The following is a 17,681-nucleotide window of genomic DNA, read 5'->3' on the forward strand; positions in this document are numbered from 1 at the left end:
GTAGGACTCCCCTAATAACCTCATTTTAACTTGATTACCTCTGTAACAACCCTATCTTCACAAAGTCACATTCTGAGGAACTAAAGGTTAGGACTTCAATGTATCTTTTTTGGGGGGACACAATTCCACTCAGGGTAGTCCATTCACTACCCTGACTCTTGGTGAGTCTATCACCCAGGTGGAGGGAAAAAATGTGGGTGTGCCATCCTAAAGCTGTGGGTAATTGGCATGAGTTAGCACATTTTGCAGAAGAAAAATAAAATACTGGTCAACAAAAGGAGTCAATTAAAAAAACCCACTGCAGATTACAGAGGAAGCCAATAGGGGTGGAGAGGTAAATGATGAAACAGATAGTTGAATCATTTTTCTGGTAAACATTTTAAATAGCATTTTAGATCACTGCTTCCTTTTTCAAAAACAAGGAAGATTTTCCTGGGCAGTCTTTTCTGAGGAAGGAGGAGTTCCTCCAAATCTTTTTTTTTTTTTTTTTTTTGAGACAAAGTTTCACTCTTTTTGCCCAGACTGGAGTGCAATGGTGCGACCTCAGCTCACTGCAACCTCCACCTCCCAGTTTCAAGCAATTCTCCTGCCTCAGCCTCCCAAGTCCTGGGATTACAGGCATGTGCCACCATGTTTTCAAACCTCCCTCACCTGTACTTATAAATAAGTTCACATTTAGATTTATTCTCCTTTTTTTTTTCTGGATAATTATTTCTACCTGTACTTGCAGAACCTTACTCAGTGGCCCCCTCCCCTGGTGGTATCTCAGAGGATTTCATAAATAGGCTAATGCACGCTGAATACTGCACTGTCCTGCTTCTGCCTGAGATCCTTTCAAAACTGCAACATCTTGGTTGGGTGTGGTGGCTCACCCCTGTAACCTCAGCACTTTGGGAGGTCAAGGCAGAGGACCTCTTGAGTGCACGAGTTTCAGACTAGCGCAGGGAGTATAGCAAGGGCTTGTCTCTACAAAAAAATTTAAAAATTAGCTGGGTGTGGTGGCACGCACCTATAATCCTAGCTACTCAGGAGGTTCCACGGGAGGCAGAGGCTGCAGTGAGCTGAGATGAGCCACTGCACTCCAGCCTGGGTGACAGGGTGAGACACCGTCTCAGAAAAAAAAAAAAAAAAAAAAAGTTGAAGGGAGCTGGCTTGCCCCTTGCACCATGTAGGATGCATGAGAAGGCACCATCTTTGAAGCAGACTGAGCCCTCACCAGACACTGAATCTCCTAGCACCTTGGTCTTAGACTTCCCGGCCCCTAGAACTAAGAGCCATAAATTTCTGCTGTTTATAAATTACCCAGTCCAAGGTATTTGTTATAGTAGCCTGAATGGACTATGACAATACATGATGTCATTTTTTGGACTGTAGTGTTCATCAGCTCTTTGGAGATGACCATGCCAGACCTCTCTCCAGCAGTTCTCCCTGTGGGTACATGTACTGTGACTTCTTCCTCACCTCTACATATCTGGCATTCACCGCCAGCTTCCTGCCCTTCCAGGCAGCCTTACTGGACTGGATCCAAGGGCACTGTCTCCTGCATGGCCCATATCTGATCCATGGGAAACACAAATGCATCTTGGGACCCCTCGGCATGTGTGGGCTGACAGCCGACCACTGCATGCCTTTTTCAGGTGGGAGGTAAGTGACCAGAGAGTCTCCATGTGCACCAACATACCTAACAAGCTCCCCAAATGGCTGGAAGCCTGTAGGCATGAAGTGAAGGAAATGGGCTGCGGAAGCTTCCCTCAGTGGGGAGGAAGTAAACTCACAGCACAGCAAAAGCTCTGTCAGAGATTTCTTTTTTCTTTTTTTCTTTTTTTTTTTTTTTGAGACGGAGTCTCGCTCTGTTGCCCAGGCTGGAGCTCACTGCAAGCTCCGCCTCCCGGGTTCACGCCATTCTCCTGCCTCAGCCTCCCGAGTAGCTGGGACTACAGGCGCCCCCCACTACGTCTGACTAATTTTTTGTATTTTTAGTAGAGACGGGGTTTCTCCGTGTTAGCCAGGATGGTCTCGATCTCCTGATCTCGTGATCTGCCCGCCTCGGCCTCCCAAAGTGCTGGGATTACAAGTGTGAGCCACTGCGCCTGGCCTTTTCTTTTTCTTTGATACAGAGTCTCACTCGTCGCCCAGGCTGCAGTGCAATGGCATGATCTTGGCTCACTGCAACCTCTGCCTCCCAGGTTCAAGCAATTCTCCTGCCTCAACCTCCCGAGTAGCTGGGATTATGGGCACGTACCACCATGCCTGGCTAAATTTTTTTTTTTTATTTGTATTTTTAGTAGAGACGGGGTTTCACCACATTGGCCAGGCTGGTCCTGAACTCCTGACCTCAGGTGATCTGCCCACCTCGGCCTCCCAAAGTGCTGGGATTACAGGTGTGAGCCACCGCGCCTGCCCCTTTTTTTCTTTTTTTGAGACGGAGTCTCATTCTGTCGCCCAGGCTGGAGTGAGGTGGGGAGATCCCAGCTCACTATAACCTCTGCCTCTCAGATTCAAGCGATTCTCCTGCATCAGCCTCCTGAATAACTGGAACTACAGGTACGCTCCACTGTGCCTGGCTAATTTTTGTATTTCTAATGGAAACGGGGTTTCACCATGTTGCCCAGGCTGATCTCAAATTCCTGACCTCAAGTGATCTGCCTGCCTCGGCCTCCCAAAGTGCTGGGATTACAGGCATTAAGCCACCGCACCCGGCCTCTGTCAGAGATTTCTTCACCAAACCCTCCTTCCACTCTCCAATTCCTTCTTTTTATTTATTTATTTTATTTTATTTTTTACTTTTATTATTTTTTTAATTTTTTTTTTTTTAGATGGAGTCTCACTTTGTCTCCCAGGCTGTAGTGCAGTAGTGCTATCTTGGCTCACTGCAACCTCTGTCTCCCGGGTTCAAGTGATTCTCATGCCTCAGCCTCCCTCCCAGAGTAGCTGGGAGTATAGGCATATGCCACCATACCTGGCTAATTTTTGTATTTTTAGTAGAGACGGGGTCTTACCATGTTGCCCAGGCTGCGACCTGCCTGCCTGGGCCTCCCAAAGTGTTGCGATTACAGGTGGCTCCCGCCTGATTCTTTCTTACATCTTTGGAGATCTCTTCCTAGAATTTCACATTAGTATATCTTGTTGTCCTAATCAAAATCTATACTTTCATATCTTGTTACACATAGGAGAAAAAGAGCTAAGAGAATGACACAGAAATGGAGCTGGAGCCTTAATACACCTCCTAACTGTTAATCTGTTTGGGTGGGGTTTCTGTCACTTGTGGCCTACAGCAGTCTTACTGTCCCCCCAACCTCCCACAAAGTTCTTCAGGTTGAAGAGAGTCACTACTTTGTAGAATGGGAAGCTCTTACTCAAAAAAGTAGAAACTGAATACAAAACTAGACTTTAGAAGGATAAGATAAATAAATCAATGCATTCATAACACATCATTACAAGAAAGTGAGGGGGTTAGAGGTCTCATCTTTAAATTCTGCTCTCAAGGACATGGAGGGCCCCTCTCACAGGCTTTCCCAAAGCTCCTCTGGGTGTACTGGTCTGACTCAGCAAGTGAACATCTGTGGTTTTGCCTAGCCAGCATCCCTTCTCCTAGCAGCAGCACTCAGCATGTCCTTTTGGGGAATCACTCTTTTCTCTTGTGGTTTATTTAAAGTGACTGCACAATCAGACCCCAGAGTTTGGCTTATGTCCTAGGCCTTGCCAGTGAAAATATGGTACCTCATCAGTGGCAGTTATTTTTCCGAGAAAGGACATATCATGACCCAAGGGGCAGCAGCAGGGAGGGGTGGATGGAAGAGACAGATAACAAACAATAAGCTAAATAAACAAATTCAGTCAGGAGCTAAAGAAATAAGTCATTCAGGAGTGGGGCAGGTGGCAATTTCAAATGGAGTGGTTAGGGTAGTTCTCAATGAGGCAGCATTTGAGAAAATATCAGGAAGAGTGAGAAGTAGTCGAGCATTCCAAACAGACAGGAGCCTGTGCAAAGACCCTGCAGCAGAGCCCTGTCTGCCTTGCATAAGAAATAGCAGGGAGGCCAGAGTGACTGGAGCAGAGTGAGCCAGTGGGGAGGCAGTAGCAGATGAGGTTGTAGGGGTAACAGAGGAGCAGATCAGGCAGGGCTTTGGGTTTTACTCTGAGTTTGGGAAACCACTGGGAAGGTTTTGGGCAGAGGAGGAATTTGATCTGGCTTTCTTTTTTTAAGGTCACTCTGGCTGCTTTATGGGGACAGGCTGCAGGGATATCAGGGAAGAGACCACTGTCATGACCCAGGTAGCAGATGATGGAGGCAGAGGTAAGAAGTGGTCAGGCTCTGGGTATGCTAGGGAGATCCAACCAACAGAATTTTTGGGCCCTGGAGGTGGGATGTGAGAGAAAGGTTTCTGAAACAGCAAGGTTTCTGGCCTTGACAACTGGAAGATGGAGTTGCCATCGAGATGGTGATGCTATGGGGAAGAGATCAGGGGCACAGATTTGGATGTGTTGAGATTGAAATGTATTTTAGAGATCCAAGAGGAGGTATTAAGGAGGCAGCTGGATAGAGGAGTATGGAGTTCAGGAGGCAGGTCCCGCCTGGAGATAAAAATTCAAAGCCAAGCCTTCTCTCTTTGCACTCAACAAAACCTCACTTAAACAGGCTTGTCAGGTCATGGAATACGGTACTAGAACTCTTTGTTGGGGAAAATGCCAGTCAACCTTACCCGTCAGAACGCTGCCTTTAAGATCAGAGATCTCTTTCCTTCAGCCTAATCCACCCCTCTCCCTGTTTTCTCCCCTAGCCCCACTAGGCTAGAAGCTCCCTGGCTTCTCCCACATCAGGATCCCCAACAAACCCATTCCCAGGTGGATAAGAGCCCAGGCAGTTCCCTAGACCACGTTCACTACTTCCTAGCTACCCAAGAGCAGGACATCGCAGACACCGGCCTCCTGGAATATTCCCTCCGCTCCTCACATTTACAGGAAGGACTCAGGTAAGCCTCGGCGCCAGTTCAGTCGGCCCGGGGCCACTAAATACCAATGGGATCCAGTGGGTTCTACGTGGTGAGTGGGGGGCGGATAAGAGAGATGCGACACCCCCCGGGCCTGCCCCCCCCACGCCGGGGCCAGGCACACCGTGAGGGGGCCAGGCACACCGTGAGGGGGCCCAGCCACTTCCATACGCCCTCCGGTCGGCCGGCACCCACCACCCACCCCTCGCCACCAAGCTGGGTGCAGAGAACAGGGCAGGCGCACGGACGGTTCTTACGGCCCCAGGCGCCAGACCCAGGGCACAGAGGCCAGGATCTCACGCGCGACCGCACGAGGCCGGGACCCTCCCTCCCCTTCCGTCCACTCCCTTCCCCACCGCCTCCGGTCCCCTCCCGGTCTCCGCCACCCCGCTTCGGGGCCCCCGCCCCCCAGCCGGGCAGCCAATCGGAGCTGGGATCCCGCCCCGGTCCGCAAAGCCGGTGGCGCCCGGAGGCTGCACGGAGAGCGGTGCCCGCGTCAGGTGAGGCGCGCGCGGGGAACGGGGGTCGCGCGCAGGGGAGCGGGGGTCGCGCGCGGCTTCCATAGAGCGCTAGGGCCTGAGCTCGAAGCCCCAGGCCCGCAGGAGGCCCGGGCCCGCGGCCGCCAGAGCCGGGACGCAGCCTGGGCGCCGCCTGCCCCGCCCCGCCCCGCCCGGGCCCGGAGTGAGGACGCGGTCGGAGGCCCAGCAGCGCGGGTCCCGGCAAGGGGCTTTCTCAACTACACAAAAGACAGTCTAAAAAATTAAGTCTCCATTTCGGTTAAGACTGCCCGTAGTTTCGGTTTTTATGTAGACCCAAGAGGGCAGGCTCGGCGTCCGCGTGCCGCGTAGTCCGGCGGCTCCAGGAGCGCGAGCGGCTGGGCCCGGGCGTAGCCACCGCAGGGCCGCTAGCTCGGCCGGGACCCGCCTGGGATGCCCTGGGGTCTGCTCCGCTGGGGCGAATCCTGAGGCGCCACGCGAGGCACTTGGCCTCTCCTAGCCCCGCTTTCGTTTTTGGAAACTGGAAACTATCACTTATTTCGTAGACGGTGTGAGGGTTACATGACAGTGTTCTGTAAAGTGCACTCTACATATGAAGTGCTCAGAAATATGGCTAATAATGAGGGTATTTATAAACTACTTAAATTATAAAAAGAATGAGACATCAGACTTACAGTTTTGGATACTAATTTTTTTCACTTAACGTTCATTATGTGATAGGAGTTTTCCATCCTATTATACCGCTGTGCGATCTGATCTTGGGCACGTTAACCAACCTCTTGTTGCCTCGATTTTCTCACCTGTAAAAGTGGGGGTAATCATAATGCTTACTTAGTAGGATAGCCCTGAAGAATAAGTGACTTAGCGAACATAAATAGCTTACAATAGGGTTTTCAGCATGGGAAGGATTCAGTAAATGTTAGCTGTCATCATCACCACCTACAAAGGAAGCAATACTGTGCTGAAAGTTTTTCCATCATTAATGTAATTTCTATAGTACGATTCCCAAGAAGATATTAAAATTATGGAAATAAAGGTATTGGTATATTCCTAATTATTTCCTAAAAGATTGTATTGATAAATATGCTCATCCTTCCCTTAACGGGATGCATTCCAGAAAAACAAGTCAAATGTTAGACAAAGTATCAGAAGGGAAATTCTGTAGCCAGAGAGCTAAAAATTACAATAGGGTCTCTAATTATACTTCAACTTTTTTAGGAATAATTCTCAGTGTGTTTTCCCACATTTCATATGTAATTTTTTTTTTTTTTTTTTTTTGAGACAGAGCCTCGCCCTGTCACCAGGCTGGAGTACAGTGGCGCGATCTCGGCTCACTGCAACTTCCACCTGCTGGGTTCAAGCAATTCTTCTGACCTCAGGTGATCCACCCGCCTCGGCCTCCCAAAGTGCTGGGATTATAACAGGCGTGGCATGAGTCACCGCGCCCGGCCGATCTTTACTTTTTTATTCTTTGTACCCCCTGCCTATCCAGTTAGCATGTGATTAAAGTCAAAGATTTGCCACTTTGGGCCACATCTATTAATTTTCATCTTTGTTATAATTGTATTTAGTTTTTGATCTACACTGCTTATTACTCCCAGTCATTTTTTCTAGAACTGAAAATCTGGTAAAATACTCAAAATTGCACTGACTTCTATGTAGAGGCGACACTCCATCAGAACCGTGGGCTGACAGGGAATCCCACTGTGCAGGAGCTGCGCGCATTTTCATTTCTGATTCTCTTTGGCGTATCCAGGACTCTGATGACATGATCATATATTTATCAGTAGTAACAGGTTGGGCCATTTGTTTTTTGTGGTAAATCATATATTTAAGATTTTAGAAATAAGTTGATAGCCATGTATTTTGGAATTTGAAAAAGACATTGCATTACTCAGCTTCAAATTAAGCTTTAATCAAATAGTGAAACTTTCCATTAATGGACAGTGTATACCTTTTTGTGTATTTAAAAAAAAAAACACTGAATATAGTGCCTTTGTGACAGGGGAGCTTAGTTCCTGACAATGTCCTCTTGAGTCTTTTTTTTTTTTTTTTGAGATGGAGTCTCACTGTGTCGCCCAGGCTGGAGTGCAGTGGCGCCATCTTGGCTCACTGCAACCTCCGCCCCCTGGGTTCAAGTGATTCTCATTCCTCAGCTTCCTAAGTAGCTGGGATTACAGGCACGCACCACCATGACCAGCTAATTTTTATACTTTTAGTAGAGACAGGGTTTTGCCATGTTGGCTAGGTTGGTCTCGAACTCCTGACCTCAAGTAATCCACCCACCATGGCCTCCCCAAAGTGCTGGGATTACAGGCGTGAGCCATTTCACCCGGCCTCTCTTCCGTCTTTGAGCTGTGAGGAAATAGCTACATTACATGAGCTGCTAGATCTGCCTTATGGTCAGAAATGAAGGTTGAACTCTCAGGAACAGTGACATATATACACACTGATATTTCCAAAGTACAATGCCCCAAATTGATCCACAAAGGAATTAAGGTCATTTGCAACAAAATCACAGAATAGTAACAAATAAATAGAAGATAAATATGGCCAGGAATTGAGATGAGAGAAAGTATAAGTACAAGAAACTATTCCAGGGGAAAAAAAGAATGAAGTGTTTCAGTGTTATCCAATAGAATTTTCTGTGATTATGAAAATGTGCTATATTTAATTAATTTATATTCCAATAGCCACTCTGTGTAGCGGCTCCCTTATAGGTCATTGCAGGCCTATATTTTTGTAGTTGAGTCCCAAATTTGTTTCTAGAAAGGTAAACTTGGTCAGTTACATGGTTCTTGTCTTTTGAAAGTAAAACATACATGGCAACTTCATTCATTCATTCATTCATTGATCCCCCAAATGTTAATGGCCTTGAAGGAAGCAGAGCCTTTCCTGATTCTCAGTTATAGGGAAAATTTTCTGTGGACTTCATTATCAGAGCACCTTGATATGTTATTGCCCTGTGAAAGTCTGTTCAGTTTGGGGCTAGGAGGGATGCAGTCAGTGAAAGTGGCATAGTTTGTAATGTTTTTTAGAGTTTTGAATAATTATGTTAACTAATCTTTATAGAAAAGTTTAAAGTGTACAGAGAAGCAAAAAGAAAGTAGTCACTAAAAGTTTCACCACTTAGAGACATAATTACTGGTAATATTTTGATGTATATATTTCCAGACTTGTGTCCCATGTAGCTATTATATTTTTCTCAATAGATCCCAAAGTATCCAACTCCCTCCAGGGCAAGAGTTGCTTTTACCTTTACCCTTAGACCTCTGAGGCTGGCAGCTGGCCCCACCTGAGAGGGTCACCCTCTCCCTAATCCTTCCCCATACTTCTGTGAGTCACCTGGCTTTGGGGCAATAATAGATACTTGAGAGGGCGTTTGAGGAGGAACAAGGAGGAAGGTCACAGCTGTAGTTCATTCTGCATGATGTGTAATCCAGGCTTTTTCAACTCTGGCACTGTTGACATTTTGGGCTGGATAATTCTTTGTGTATGTGTAGTTGGGGTAGGAAGGTGTCCTGTGCATCACAGGATGTTTTGCAGCATCCCTGGCCTTTCCCTACTAGATGCCAATGGCACATACCCTTTTCCCCCCGAGTACAACAATCAGAAATGTTGGTGAGAAATACTGGGTTAATGAAAATCACTAATTTATTGCTGACAAAGCTCTGGAGTTTCAGATTCCAATTTGCATGTGGGAAAGAGACTGAAATCAAAAGGGAAACATAATGTAAGCCAAGGAAGCTGTTTAGTCCTGGCTGTGCTATTAATTTACTGTGAGATTTTGCATCTCTCCCACGTGCAAATTGGAATGTGAAACTCTAGAGCTTTGTCAGCAATAATTTAGTGATTTCCATGAACCCAGTAGTTCCTTTTTTTTTTTTTTTTTTTTTTTAAGATGGAGTCTTGCTCTGTCACCCAGGCTGGAGTGCAGTGGGACGGTCTCGGCTCATTGCAACCTCCGCCTCCCAGGTTCGAGCAATTCTCCTGCCTCAGCCTCCCGAGTAGCTGGGACTACAGGTGCACGCCACCATACCCAGGTAATTTTTGTATTTTTAGTAGACATGGGGTTTCACCATGTTGGCCAGGATGGTCTCGATCTCTTGACCTCATGATCAGCCCCATGCCCGCCTCGGCCTCCCAAAGTGCTGGGATTACAGGCATGAGCCACCGTGCCCGGCCCTTAACCCAGTAGTTGTTACTGACATTTCTGATTGTCGTGCTGGGGGGAAAACGGTATGTGCCACTGGCATCTAGTGGGGAAAGGCCAGGGATGCTGCAAACTGATATACTGCCAAGTTTATCAGTTGGGAATCCCAACAGTGAAAAGCATAAAAATGAAAGGAATTTTAAGGAGACTTTTTATAGAAGAGTGGGCAGGATTGGAGGAGCCAACAAGTGATGGTGAGGCACACAGGGAAGAGCTTCAGTGGGCACCATCCCCTCTCTGGTTTGAAGGGGTAGGGAGGGGACCAGAGCTGGGAGGAGGGGGCTGGAATACTGCTGGAGGAGCCACTCCCTTCCAGACCTGCTGTGGCCATCACAGAATGCAGCCACTGCCAGAGCAGCAGCCTGAGGAACCAGGCAGGGGGAGCACAAGTACCCTAGCCTCTCTCTTTCTGTTTCTTGCCTGCCGATCTCCTCCACTGGCTAAACCCAGCTGGATGCTAAGAGTACAGTCAGCCTGCCTGCTGAGGAGGGACCACCAGGGACCACCATCAGCAAGGGATCCAATGTCTTTCTGCCTCTGCAGAATGAAGGTTGGGGCACGGGGGGCGCTCTACTTCTTAGGGATATTGTGGGAATAAAAGGAAATAGGCAAAAAATGTTTTTGAAAAACAAAGCACATACTGCGCACCCGTGGGCCACTACTGCTTTTGACCCCTGGCTCTGTTTCATGAAGTAATGTCGTGTCATTCTCTTTTTAGGTGCTACAGGATTTCTTTAGGTTTGTTTTCTGTCCACCATATTTCAACTCATGTGTGCTGTTTGTTGTGCTAAAACAAATATTTGCTGATGCCTGAGTGAATAGTTGAATATTTTATATAAGTCAAATTTATACGTAATGATTTTTCTTGTAACTTAGCCGTTTCTCTTTTACAAACTCAGAAAACCTCAGACTTTGAAAAGGCCTTGAAGTTCCTCACCTGAAATCTGAGAACTTGGAGCGCCTTAAAAAATCTAAAGGAAAACAAAACAGTGAAAGAACATGATATAGTCAGTGTAGAGAATAAAATTATTTATGTAATTAATATTGAGGATGCAGATAACACGTTGTGAAATCTTGCTTGTAAAAAATCTCGATCTGCTGAAGAAAGATGTTCTCTCTAGAGATCTTTGAAAGCATAATTATTGAGCTTTTAAAATGTTAGAAACAAAAGTTAGACCCACACATATTCTGGCGTGTGGAAGATTTGCATTCCTTCCCCTGCCCGCCCCGCCCCCGCACTTGTGAGTTGTGCCTGTGTACGCAGTTCCTGTAGCACTCGGCTGGGCAGAAATCATCTTTCAGCACTAAGGGAACATAGTTATGATCTGGACCTTCTGGGAGTGGTCAGTGCCCAAGAACAGGTATGGGACTCCAGAAAGTTCTGCTCTCAACCCTATTTTGAAATAGAGTTACACATTGTTCTACAATTATTTGAGTTAATAAGCAGCTCTTTTCAAACGTGATTATGCCCTTCCAAGTTTAAATACACTAGACTTTAGTGAAAGTAATTGACCTCATCTCATTTCTCTCCTGTTATATTAAGATCACTTTCAGTAAAAGGTAGAAGCTTTTGAAGTGGTGAGGAGGAGGTAGAGGAGGGACATAGAGCAGATAGGGGCTGGAAAGTGGGGTGGGGAAGAGAGTGGCTTCTCTTTGGCAGAGTACCAAGGAAAAGCCCTATCTGTACAGAACCTTTGTGCCTGGGAACTTGATGGCTGCAACCTGAGCCTCAACCTAGTTTGCTTGCGGAGCCAGAAGAGAAGCTAAAAACCTTCAGTTAACCAAGCCAGACACCAAGAAAGTTAAACCGAAAGAGAACCCCCCACCCCCCGCAAAAAAAAGAAGTAAAGTGGGTTAAAGTGATATGTTAGCACAGAAAGAGAACATAAGGGTCATCTAAGTTCATCTGCCCCCTCTTCTATTTCAAGGTGCAGAAACTAAGGCACAAGGGACCCCGTGTCCTGCTCTTGATCACATAGCTAGTGGGTGCCAAGCCAGGTCTAGAACTCTGTTCTCTGGGGTCACAGGCTGGCTCTTCATCCCTCTAGAGAGATAGCTCATCTGTGTGCACCTGAGCCCGTTGTGTTTCGGAGTCAAAGCAAATAAAGGCTCAAACTCCAAGACTGTTTTGCAGACCGGCTGCAGTAGATACGGGGGGAGGAGAAACCTGCTTTAAATTGCTTCAAGCAAGTTGTTTCTGCAAAGGTGTTGACTTTTTTCTTTCAACTTTCTAGTGAGTCACTGCAGCCTGAGCTGTTATTTGTCATTATGCAATAATTCAGGAACTAACTCAAGATTCTTCTTTTTAAATTATTTGTTTATTTAGAGACAGAGTCTTGCTCTGTTGCCCAAGCTGGAGTGCAGTGGTGTGATCTCGGCTCACTGCAACCTCTGCCTCCTGGGTTCAAGCAATTCTCATGTCTCAGCCTCCCGAATAGCTGGTATTACAGGCTCGTGCCACCACCCCCTGCTAATTTTTGTAATTTTAGTAGAGACACGGTTTCACCATGTTGGCCAGGCTCGTCTTGAACTCCTGGCCTCAAGTGATCCGCCCGCCTCGGCCTCCCAAAGTGCTAGGATTACAGCCGTGAGCCTCCACACCCGGCCTATTTATTTATTTTTAAATTGGCTGCTCTTAGAAAGGCATACCATGTTTCTGGATGGGAAGGCTTATTAATTCACCCTAATTTAATGTATAAATTTGATGCAATCATAGTCACAGTCCCAGTGGAATTTTTTAACTTGGTAAGATGTTCTAAAATTAATGAGAGAACTTGAATTACCAGGTATTGAAACACTGTAAAGCCACAATCATGTAAACAGTATGTTATAACCATGGGAATAGAGGTCTGTGATACAGCAGAAAAAAGTGAAAAAAAGAATAACTGTATTCATAAAAATTTAAATGTGGAGTCACTGGGGGAAAGGATTAAATATTCGATAATGTAGAAACAACTCAACTATTTGGAGAAATGTAAATTTAGAGCCTTATCTCATGCCATATACCAAAATACTATTTAGATTTGATTAAAAAATAAAAATGTAAATAAAGAAAAGTTAAGGCAAGGCGTGGTAGCTCATGCCTGTAATCCCAGCATTTTGGGAGGCCGAGGTGGGTGGATCACCTGAGGTGAGGAGTTCCAGACCAGCCTGGCCAACATGGCGAAACCCCATTTCTACTAAAAATAATTAGCGTGGTGGTGTGGTGGTAGGCGCCTGTAATCCCAGCTACTCAGGAGGCTGAGGTGGGAGAATGGCTTGAACCTGGGAGGCAGAGGTTGCAGTGAGCCGAGATCCCACCATTGCACTCCAGCCTGAGTGACAAGAGTGAAACTCTGTCTCAGGGAAAAAAAAAAAAAAAAAAGTTAAAAATCTAAAAGAAAATAAAAATGTATCTATTTAATATAAGTCTTTTGGGAAAATATTTCTCAGCATAATACTAAAAGTTAGAAAATAGAATGTTTTTGTGTTTGACCATTTAAATAGTACACCTTTGAAATTTAAATAAAAAAAGGAAAACTAAACAAACCAAAACCTTTTTGTTACAGGATTAGGTCTTAGATATTTTAAGATATATTAAAATACAGAATAAAGTTCCTCCTTGATTCTGTTCAGAGTTTAACTAGTCCTGGCCAGACAATGGGGAGGAAAGGAGAGGGAGCTGTGTGATGGGCAGGCAGAGAGTTGGAAGGTGGAGCCAGATCTCGCTTGGCCTGGGATTGCTGCCTCTCCTGACGGTGCATCTTATCGTAAGGGGGAGTTGAAAGCAGAAGGGGAAACAGCACAGAAAGGATCTGTCTGGCCGTTACAGTTATGTGACCATGGCAGGTCCTGCCAGTCACTCACAGCTCTGTGAGCAACTAGCTGGGGTACCCCAGCTGAATGTGCTTTAAAAACAGCAATGTGGCCAGGTGCAGTGGCTCATGCCTGCAGTCTCAGAACTTTGGGAGGCCGAGGCAGGAGGATCACTTGAACCCAGGAGTTCGACGTTGCAGTGAGCTGTGATCATGCGTGCCACTGCATTCCAGTCTGTGTTAAAGAACAAAACCCTGACCCTGAAAAATAAACAAATAAACAGCAATGCCACTTATTCTAGGTGGTACACCCCTGATGCCCAGTGTACGAGTTCCATTTAGGCTTCTTTCTCGTGCATATGCATCTCTCCACATCCTTTCGTTTGTTTGTTTTCTTTTGTTTTGCTTTCCCCAGATTATGTAGGAAAACAATAAAGTTCATAAGTAATGTTCTGTAGGCCACTTTTATAGGAAAACTTTCCTCTAAGATCTCATTAGAAAAGAAAAGCAAGTAGCCTGCCACCGAGCACCTGTGCCAGCACAACTACACTGTGGAGCACCCAGATAAAGTGGCGCTGAACGCACTGCAGCCTCCTAAGTTCGGAAAAGAAAGCTCATTAGCATCTACACTGAAGACGCTCCTGTTCTTCACAGCTTTAATGATCACTGTTCCTATCGGGTTATTTATATTTCACAACTAAATCTTATATATCTGGAGGCGCCCTTGGGATATCCAATAAGGACAGCTGTTTTTATGCTGCTATTGTTGCCGTGGTCACCGGCCATGTGGTGCTGGCCCTCTTTATGTATGTGGTCTGGAATGAAGGCTCATGACAGTGACATGAAGGCAAACAGGATTAAAGTGAACATCACCTTTTGATAGCATTAAATTCATTTTTTAAAATGATAAATGCTGGAGGGGGGACATCTGATTTGAATAAAATTGAAAGAACATGTTAAAGTCAGTCTTAAGGAGTCATGTTTGAGTAGTGTAAATTTTGATCCTCCTAATATGTTGTTTGTATATTCAGTTTTAACTATATGAATCTCATTTGCAAATGAGAATTTGGAAAAGTTAAATTAGTTACAAATAGATATGTTAATTACAAAAAAAAAAGAAAGGGAGAGCAAGTAGTAGTGAGATTTCTGCAAGGTCAAAGGACTCAGGGCAGTTTCTTCTGAATGTAGTTTGGGGGCTGGAGAAAGAAATAGGAAGCAGTAGAATTGCTAGGTCAGATTGGAATTTTAAGAGCTATTGCTGCACTACCCTCCACAGAGATGCTACCCACTTGTAGTCCCCCAATAATATCAGAGTGTATTCCTGACCACACTTTAACCAACACACTCTGGCAAACATTTTGATCTGTCAGTCAGATAGGCCTTCTTGCTATAATCAGAATTTACATTCTGTGATCATGACTGAGGGTATCATTCTGCCTGTTATAAGAGTTACCTGAATTTCCTTTTCTGGGAACCAGAGAGCAATTTAGAGCTGGAGCAGACCTTGGAGATGAAGTCCAACCATTCAGCCTACAGCCTATGACCCGTTTGACCGTCGTTGTTGCTTGGGTAGTTCAGGACTGACAGGACTGGACACCAGGTCTCCTGTTTATCCTTGAAGCTCTCTGGGTGAATGTAAGACAGGACCTGTCAAGGCCTCTGGCACAGCCTGGGTTTGAGTCTAGAACCAGAAAGTCTGGAAATTGCAGGGCAGTGCCGCAGTGCCTTGGCTGTGAAGCAGGGTGCTTTACCCTCCCTGAACTCCAGGCACTTCGTCTGTAAAATGGAATTAATACTAGCTTTTTTTTTTGCCAGGGTTCTGAGGATTAGGGTTAATGTGTATGAACTAGCTGACCCAGAGAGGCTCACATCTGTTCTCATCCTCCTCACATTTGGGTGTTCTGTTATCTGTTATCTGTTCTGTCACTGTTCTGTTATCTGACTATCACTCACGTGCAAGCTCCAAGGGAGACTTGAATGAAAGTTCTTAAAAACAGAAGTAAAGCACAGTAGGGTGTTGGGGAGGGCATCTCTGTGGGGCCTCCAGGTAGCCAGGGGAGGGCGAGCAGAGTGTGCTTGCTGGGGACCCTCTGCTCCCGTGTCTTCATGCACCCTCCTACTTAGAGTGCTGGCGCTCCCACCCCACCCACCACCTGCGGGTCAGCTCTCAGTGTCTTAGTTATCCTTCTGAGATTTTTTTTTTTTTTAAATGAGACAGGGTCTCTCATCTGGGTACAAAATAGTTTGGGGAAAAAAGAGATAAGGTCTCTGTCACCCTGTGAGTGACAGAGGTGACGACATGTGAGATAGTGACTCATGTCACTATCACTCTAGGCTGGAGTGCAGTGGCGTGATCATAGCTCACTGCAGCCTCAAATTCCTGGGCTCAAGTAATCCTCCTGCCCCAGCCTCCCAAGTAGCTAGGACTATAGGTGTATGCCACAATGCCTGGCTAATTTTTTAATTTTTTAAGTAAAGACAGGGTCTTGCCATGTTGCCCAAGCTGGTCTCGGACTCCTGGGCTCAAGCAATCCTCCCACCTCAGCCTCCCACAGTGCTGGGATTACAGGTGTGAGCTACCGTGCCCGGCCTTTCTGAGATATTTTATGCATAAAAAGACATCACACCTATACTGCCTCCCCAGGATCTGAGAAGAAAGTCCACTTTCTTTGTCACATTCTGCTTTTTGGAGTTTTTCTTCTAGTAGGTTCCCTTTTTCAGATTTTTTTCAGATGTGAAAAGGCTCCAGACTGCAAAAGGAAAGGCATCATGTGTGCTGGCCAGGTTGGGTCATGAGACCCACTCTCAAAGCAGGAAGGAGCAATGGGAAGAGAGAAGGGAGGGGAGTTGCCGAAAGCAGGCTATTTTCTTTTTTTTTTTTTCTTTGAGACAGAGTCTCACTCTGTCGCCCAGTCTGGGAGTGCAGTGGCTCGATCTTGGCTCACTGCAGCCTCCTCCTCCCAGGTTCAAGCAATTCTTCTGCCTCAGCCTCCCGAGTAGGTGGGAATTACAGGCATGCGCCACCACACCCGGCTAATTTTTGTATTTTTAGTAGAGACGGGGTTTCGCCATGTTAGCCAGGCTGGCCTGGAACTCCTGACCTCAGGTGATCTGCCTTCCTTGTCCTCCCAAAGTACTGGGATTACAGGCGTGAGCCACTGCGCCCAGCTCCAAAAGCAGGCTATTTTCAACACAAAGCCTACACGATCACCCATGCCCCCTTCCCCGGGTAGTCTTAAGGTTGCCAAGGTCGGTTTTGTTTGTTTTGGAATGGGGGTGGTTATTTCACTGTCATTCATGGTTCTCATCCCTGTGCTTAACCAAAGAGAATGAGATCAAATGCTGTGCTGGGTCCAAGGGCAGGGGTTGCCACAGCCTTCCCTTTTCAGAGGCCTTCTGCCCTCTGCAAGCTAGGAGTGGTCATCGTCATCGGCTTCCTGGACAGCCTATGCAGGTGGAGGGGCTGGAGAGGCATCTGTAGTGCATTTTTCATCACCTCTGGTTATCCATTTGCCTGACCTTTCCTGCCCAGTTTTAGTTAAAATACAGTGGTGATTCTAGTGGCTCTAACAAGTGAGAGAAAAAATTAATCTTTACAGGCCTCTGTTCTACTGTCATTCCAGTGTTTGTCCAGGTGTGGCTCCTGACCGTCTGTGTGCCTTTACCTGGATGCTTGGTGAAAATGCAGATTCATGGCCTCCCCTCCACTCTTGGCCTTCCAAATCAGAATCTGGGAGTGAAACCCAGAAATATGCATTTTCAACAAGAATCCTAGGGGTACATTAAAGTTGAGGACCCCTGTTAAGCCGTGTTGTTGCTTTCTTTTCCTTCACTCTCTGGTCTCCCCTCATCTCCTCTTGTCACCCCTCCTTCCTTGCTACCCCTGCTCACCTGTTTGCCCCCTCCTTCGTCTTAATGCTGAGGGTCCGGAGCGGCTTCTTGGACTATTCTTTGAACATACTAAATTGCAGTCCTCCAGAAACTCAGCTAGGAAGAAAAAAAAGTACATATTTCTTATTGCCTTGCTTGTCCCCATTTAAAAAGCCAGATAAAAAACTGTCCTCTTCAAGCACCAGTTTTGGGAAGTGCATCCTTCCCATGGAGGCATCCCGATTGCAGCTGCTCTTCCAATGTAGGAGACGGATCTGGGCTTGGAAATGCCCTTCTCTAAGGAAGCATTGCTGGT

At 46.3% G+C, this 17,681-nt stretch overlaps 1 protein-coding gene and 1 pseudogene across 5 annotated transcripts in view, besides 3 other annotated features; both read left to right on the plus strand.

Annotated features, from left to right (window-relative positions):
* Positions 1,598-14,460, plus strand: LOC107986727 (uncharacterized; annotated as a pseudogene).
* Positions 3,353-4,120: a transcriptional cis regulatory region, noted in NCBI's record as "candidate enhancer chr7.1855 targeted for multiplex CRISPR interference". NCBI's record gives its function as "positively regulates expression of the BLVRA gene with high confidence and the COA1 gene with lower confidence in K562 cells {active_cell/tissue: K562}" and the evidence as "EXISTENCE:mutant phenotype evidence [ECO:0000015][PMID:30612741]".
* BLVRA (biliverdin reductase A) overlaps positions 4,879-17,681 on the plus strand; it is a 49,221-nt gene continuing 36,418 nt past the window's right edge. Inside the window, exons 1-2 of one of the 5 annotated variants that reach the window (NM_001253823.2) lie at positions 5,437-5,491; positions 6,774-6,867. The gene's annotated coding sequence lies outside the window, so the exon portion shown is untranslated. Of the gene's footprint in view, positions 4,974-5,436; positions 5,492-6,773; positions 6,868-9,387; positions 9,532-10,961; positions 11,063-17,681 lie in introns of those variants that run through there. The other 4 variants (XM_011515474.3, NM_000712.4, XM_024446867.2 and 1 more) reach the window with 4 other exon arrangements.
* Positions 5,142-5,531: a silencer, noted in NCBI's record as "silent region_18126". NCBI's record gives its function as "represses an Ori minimal core promoter by ATAC-STARR-seq in GM12878 lymphoblastoid cells {active_cell/tissue: GM12878}" and the evidence as "EXISTENCE:reporter gene assay evidence [ECO:0000049][PMID:35858748]".
* Positions 5,542-5,861: a silencer, noted in NCBI's record as "silent region_18127". NCBI's record gives its function as "represses an Ori minimal core promoter by ATAC-STARR-seq in GM12878 lymphoblastoid cells {active_cell/tissue: GM12878}" and the evidence as "EXISTENCE:reporter gene assay evidence [ECO:0000049][PMID:35858748]".

The sequence above is a fragment of the Homo sapiens genome, chromosome 7, assembly GCF_000001405.40.
Source record: "Homo sapiens chromosome 7, GRCh38.p14 Primary Assembly".
Taxonomy (NCBI): domain Eukaryota; kingdom Metazoa; phylum Chordata; class Mammalia; order Primates; family Hominidae; genus Homo; species Homo sapiens.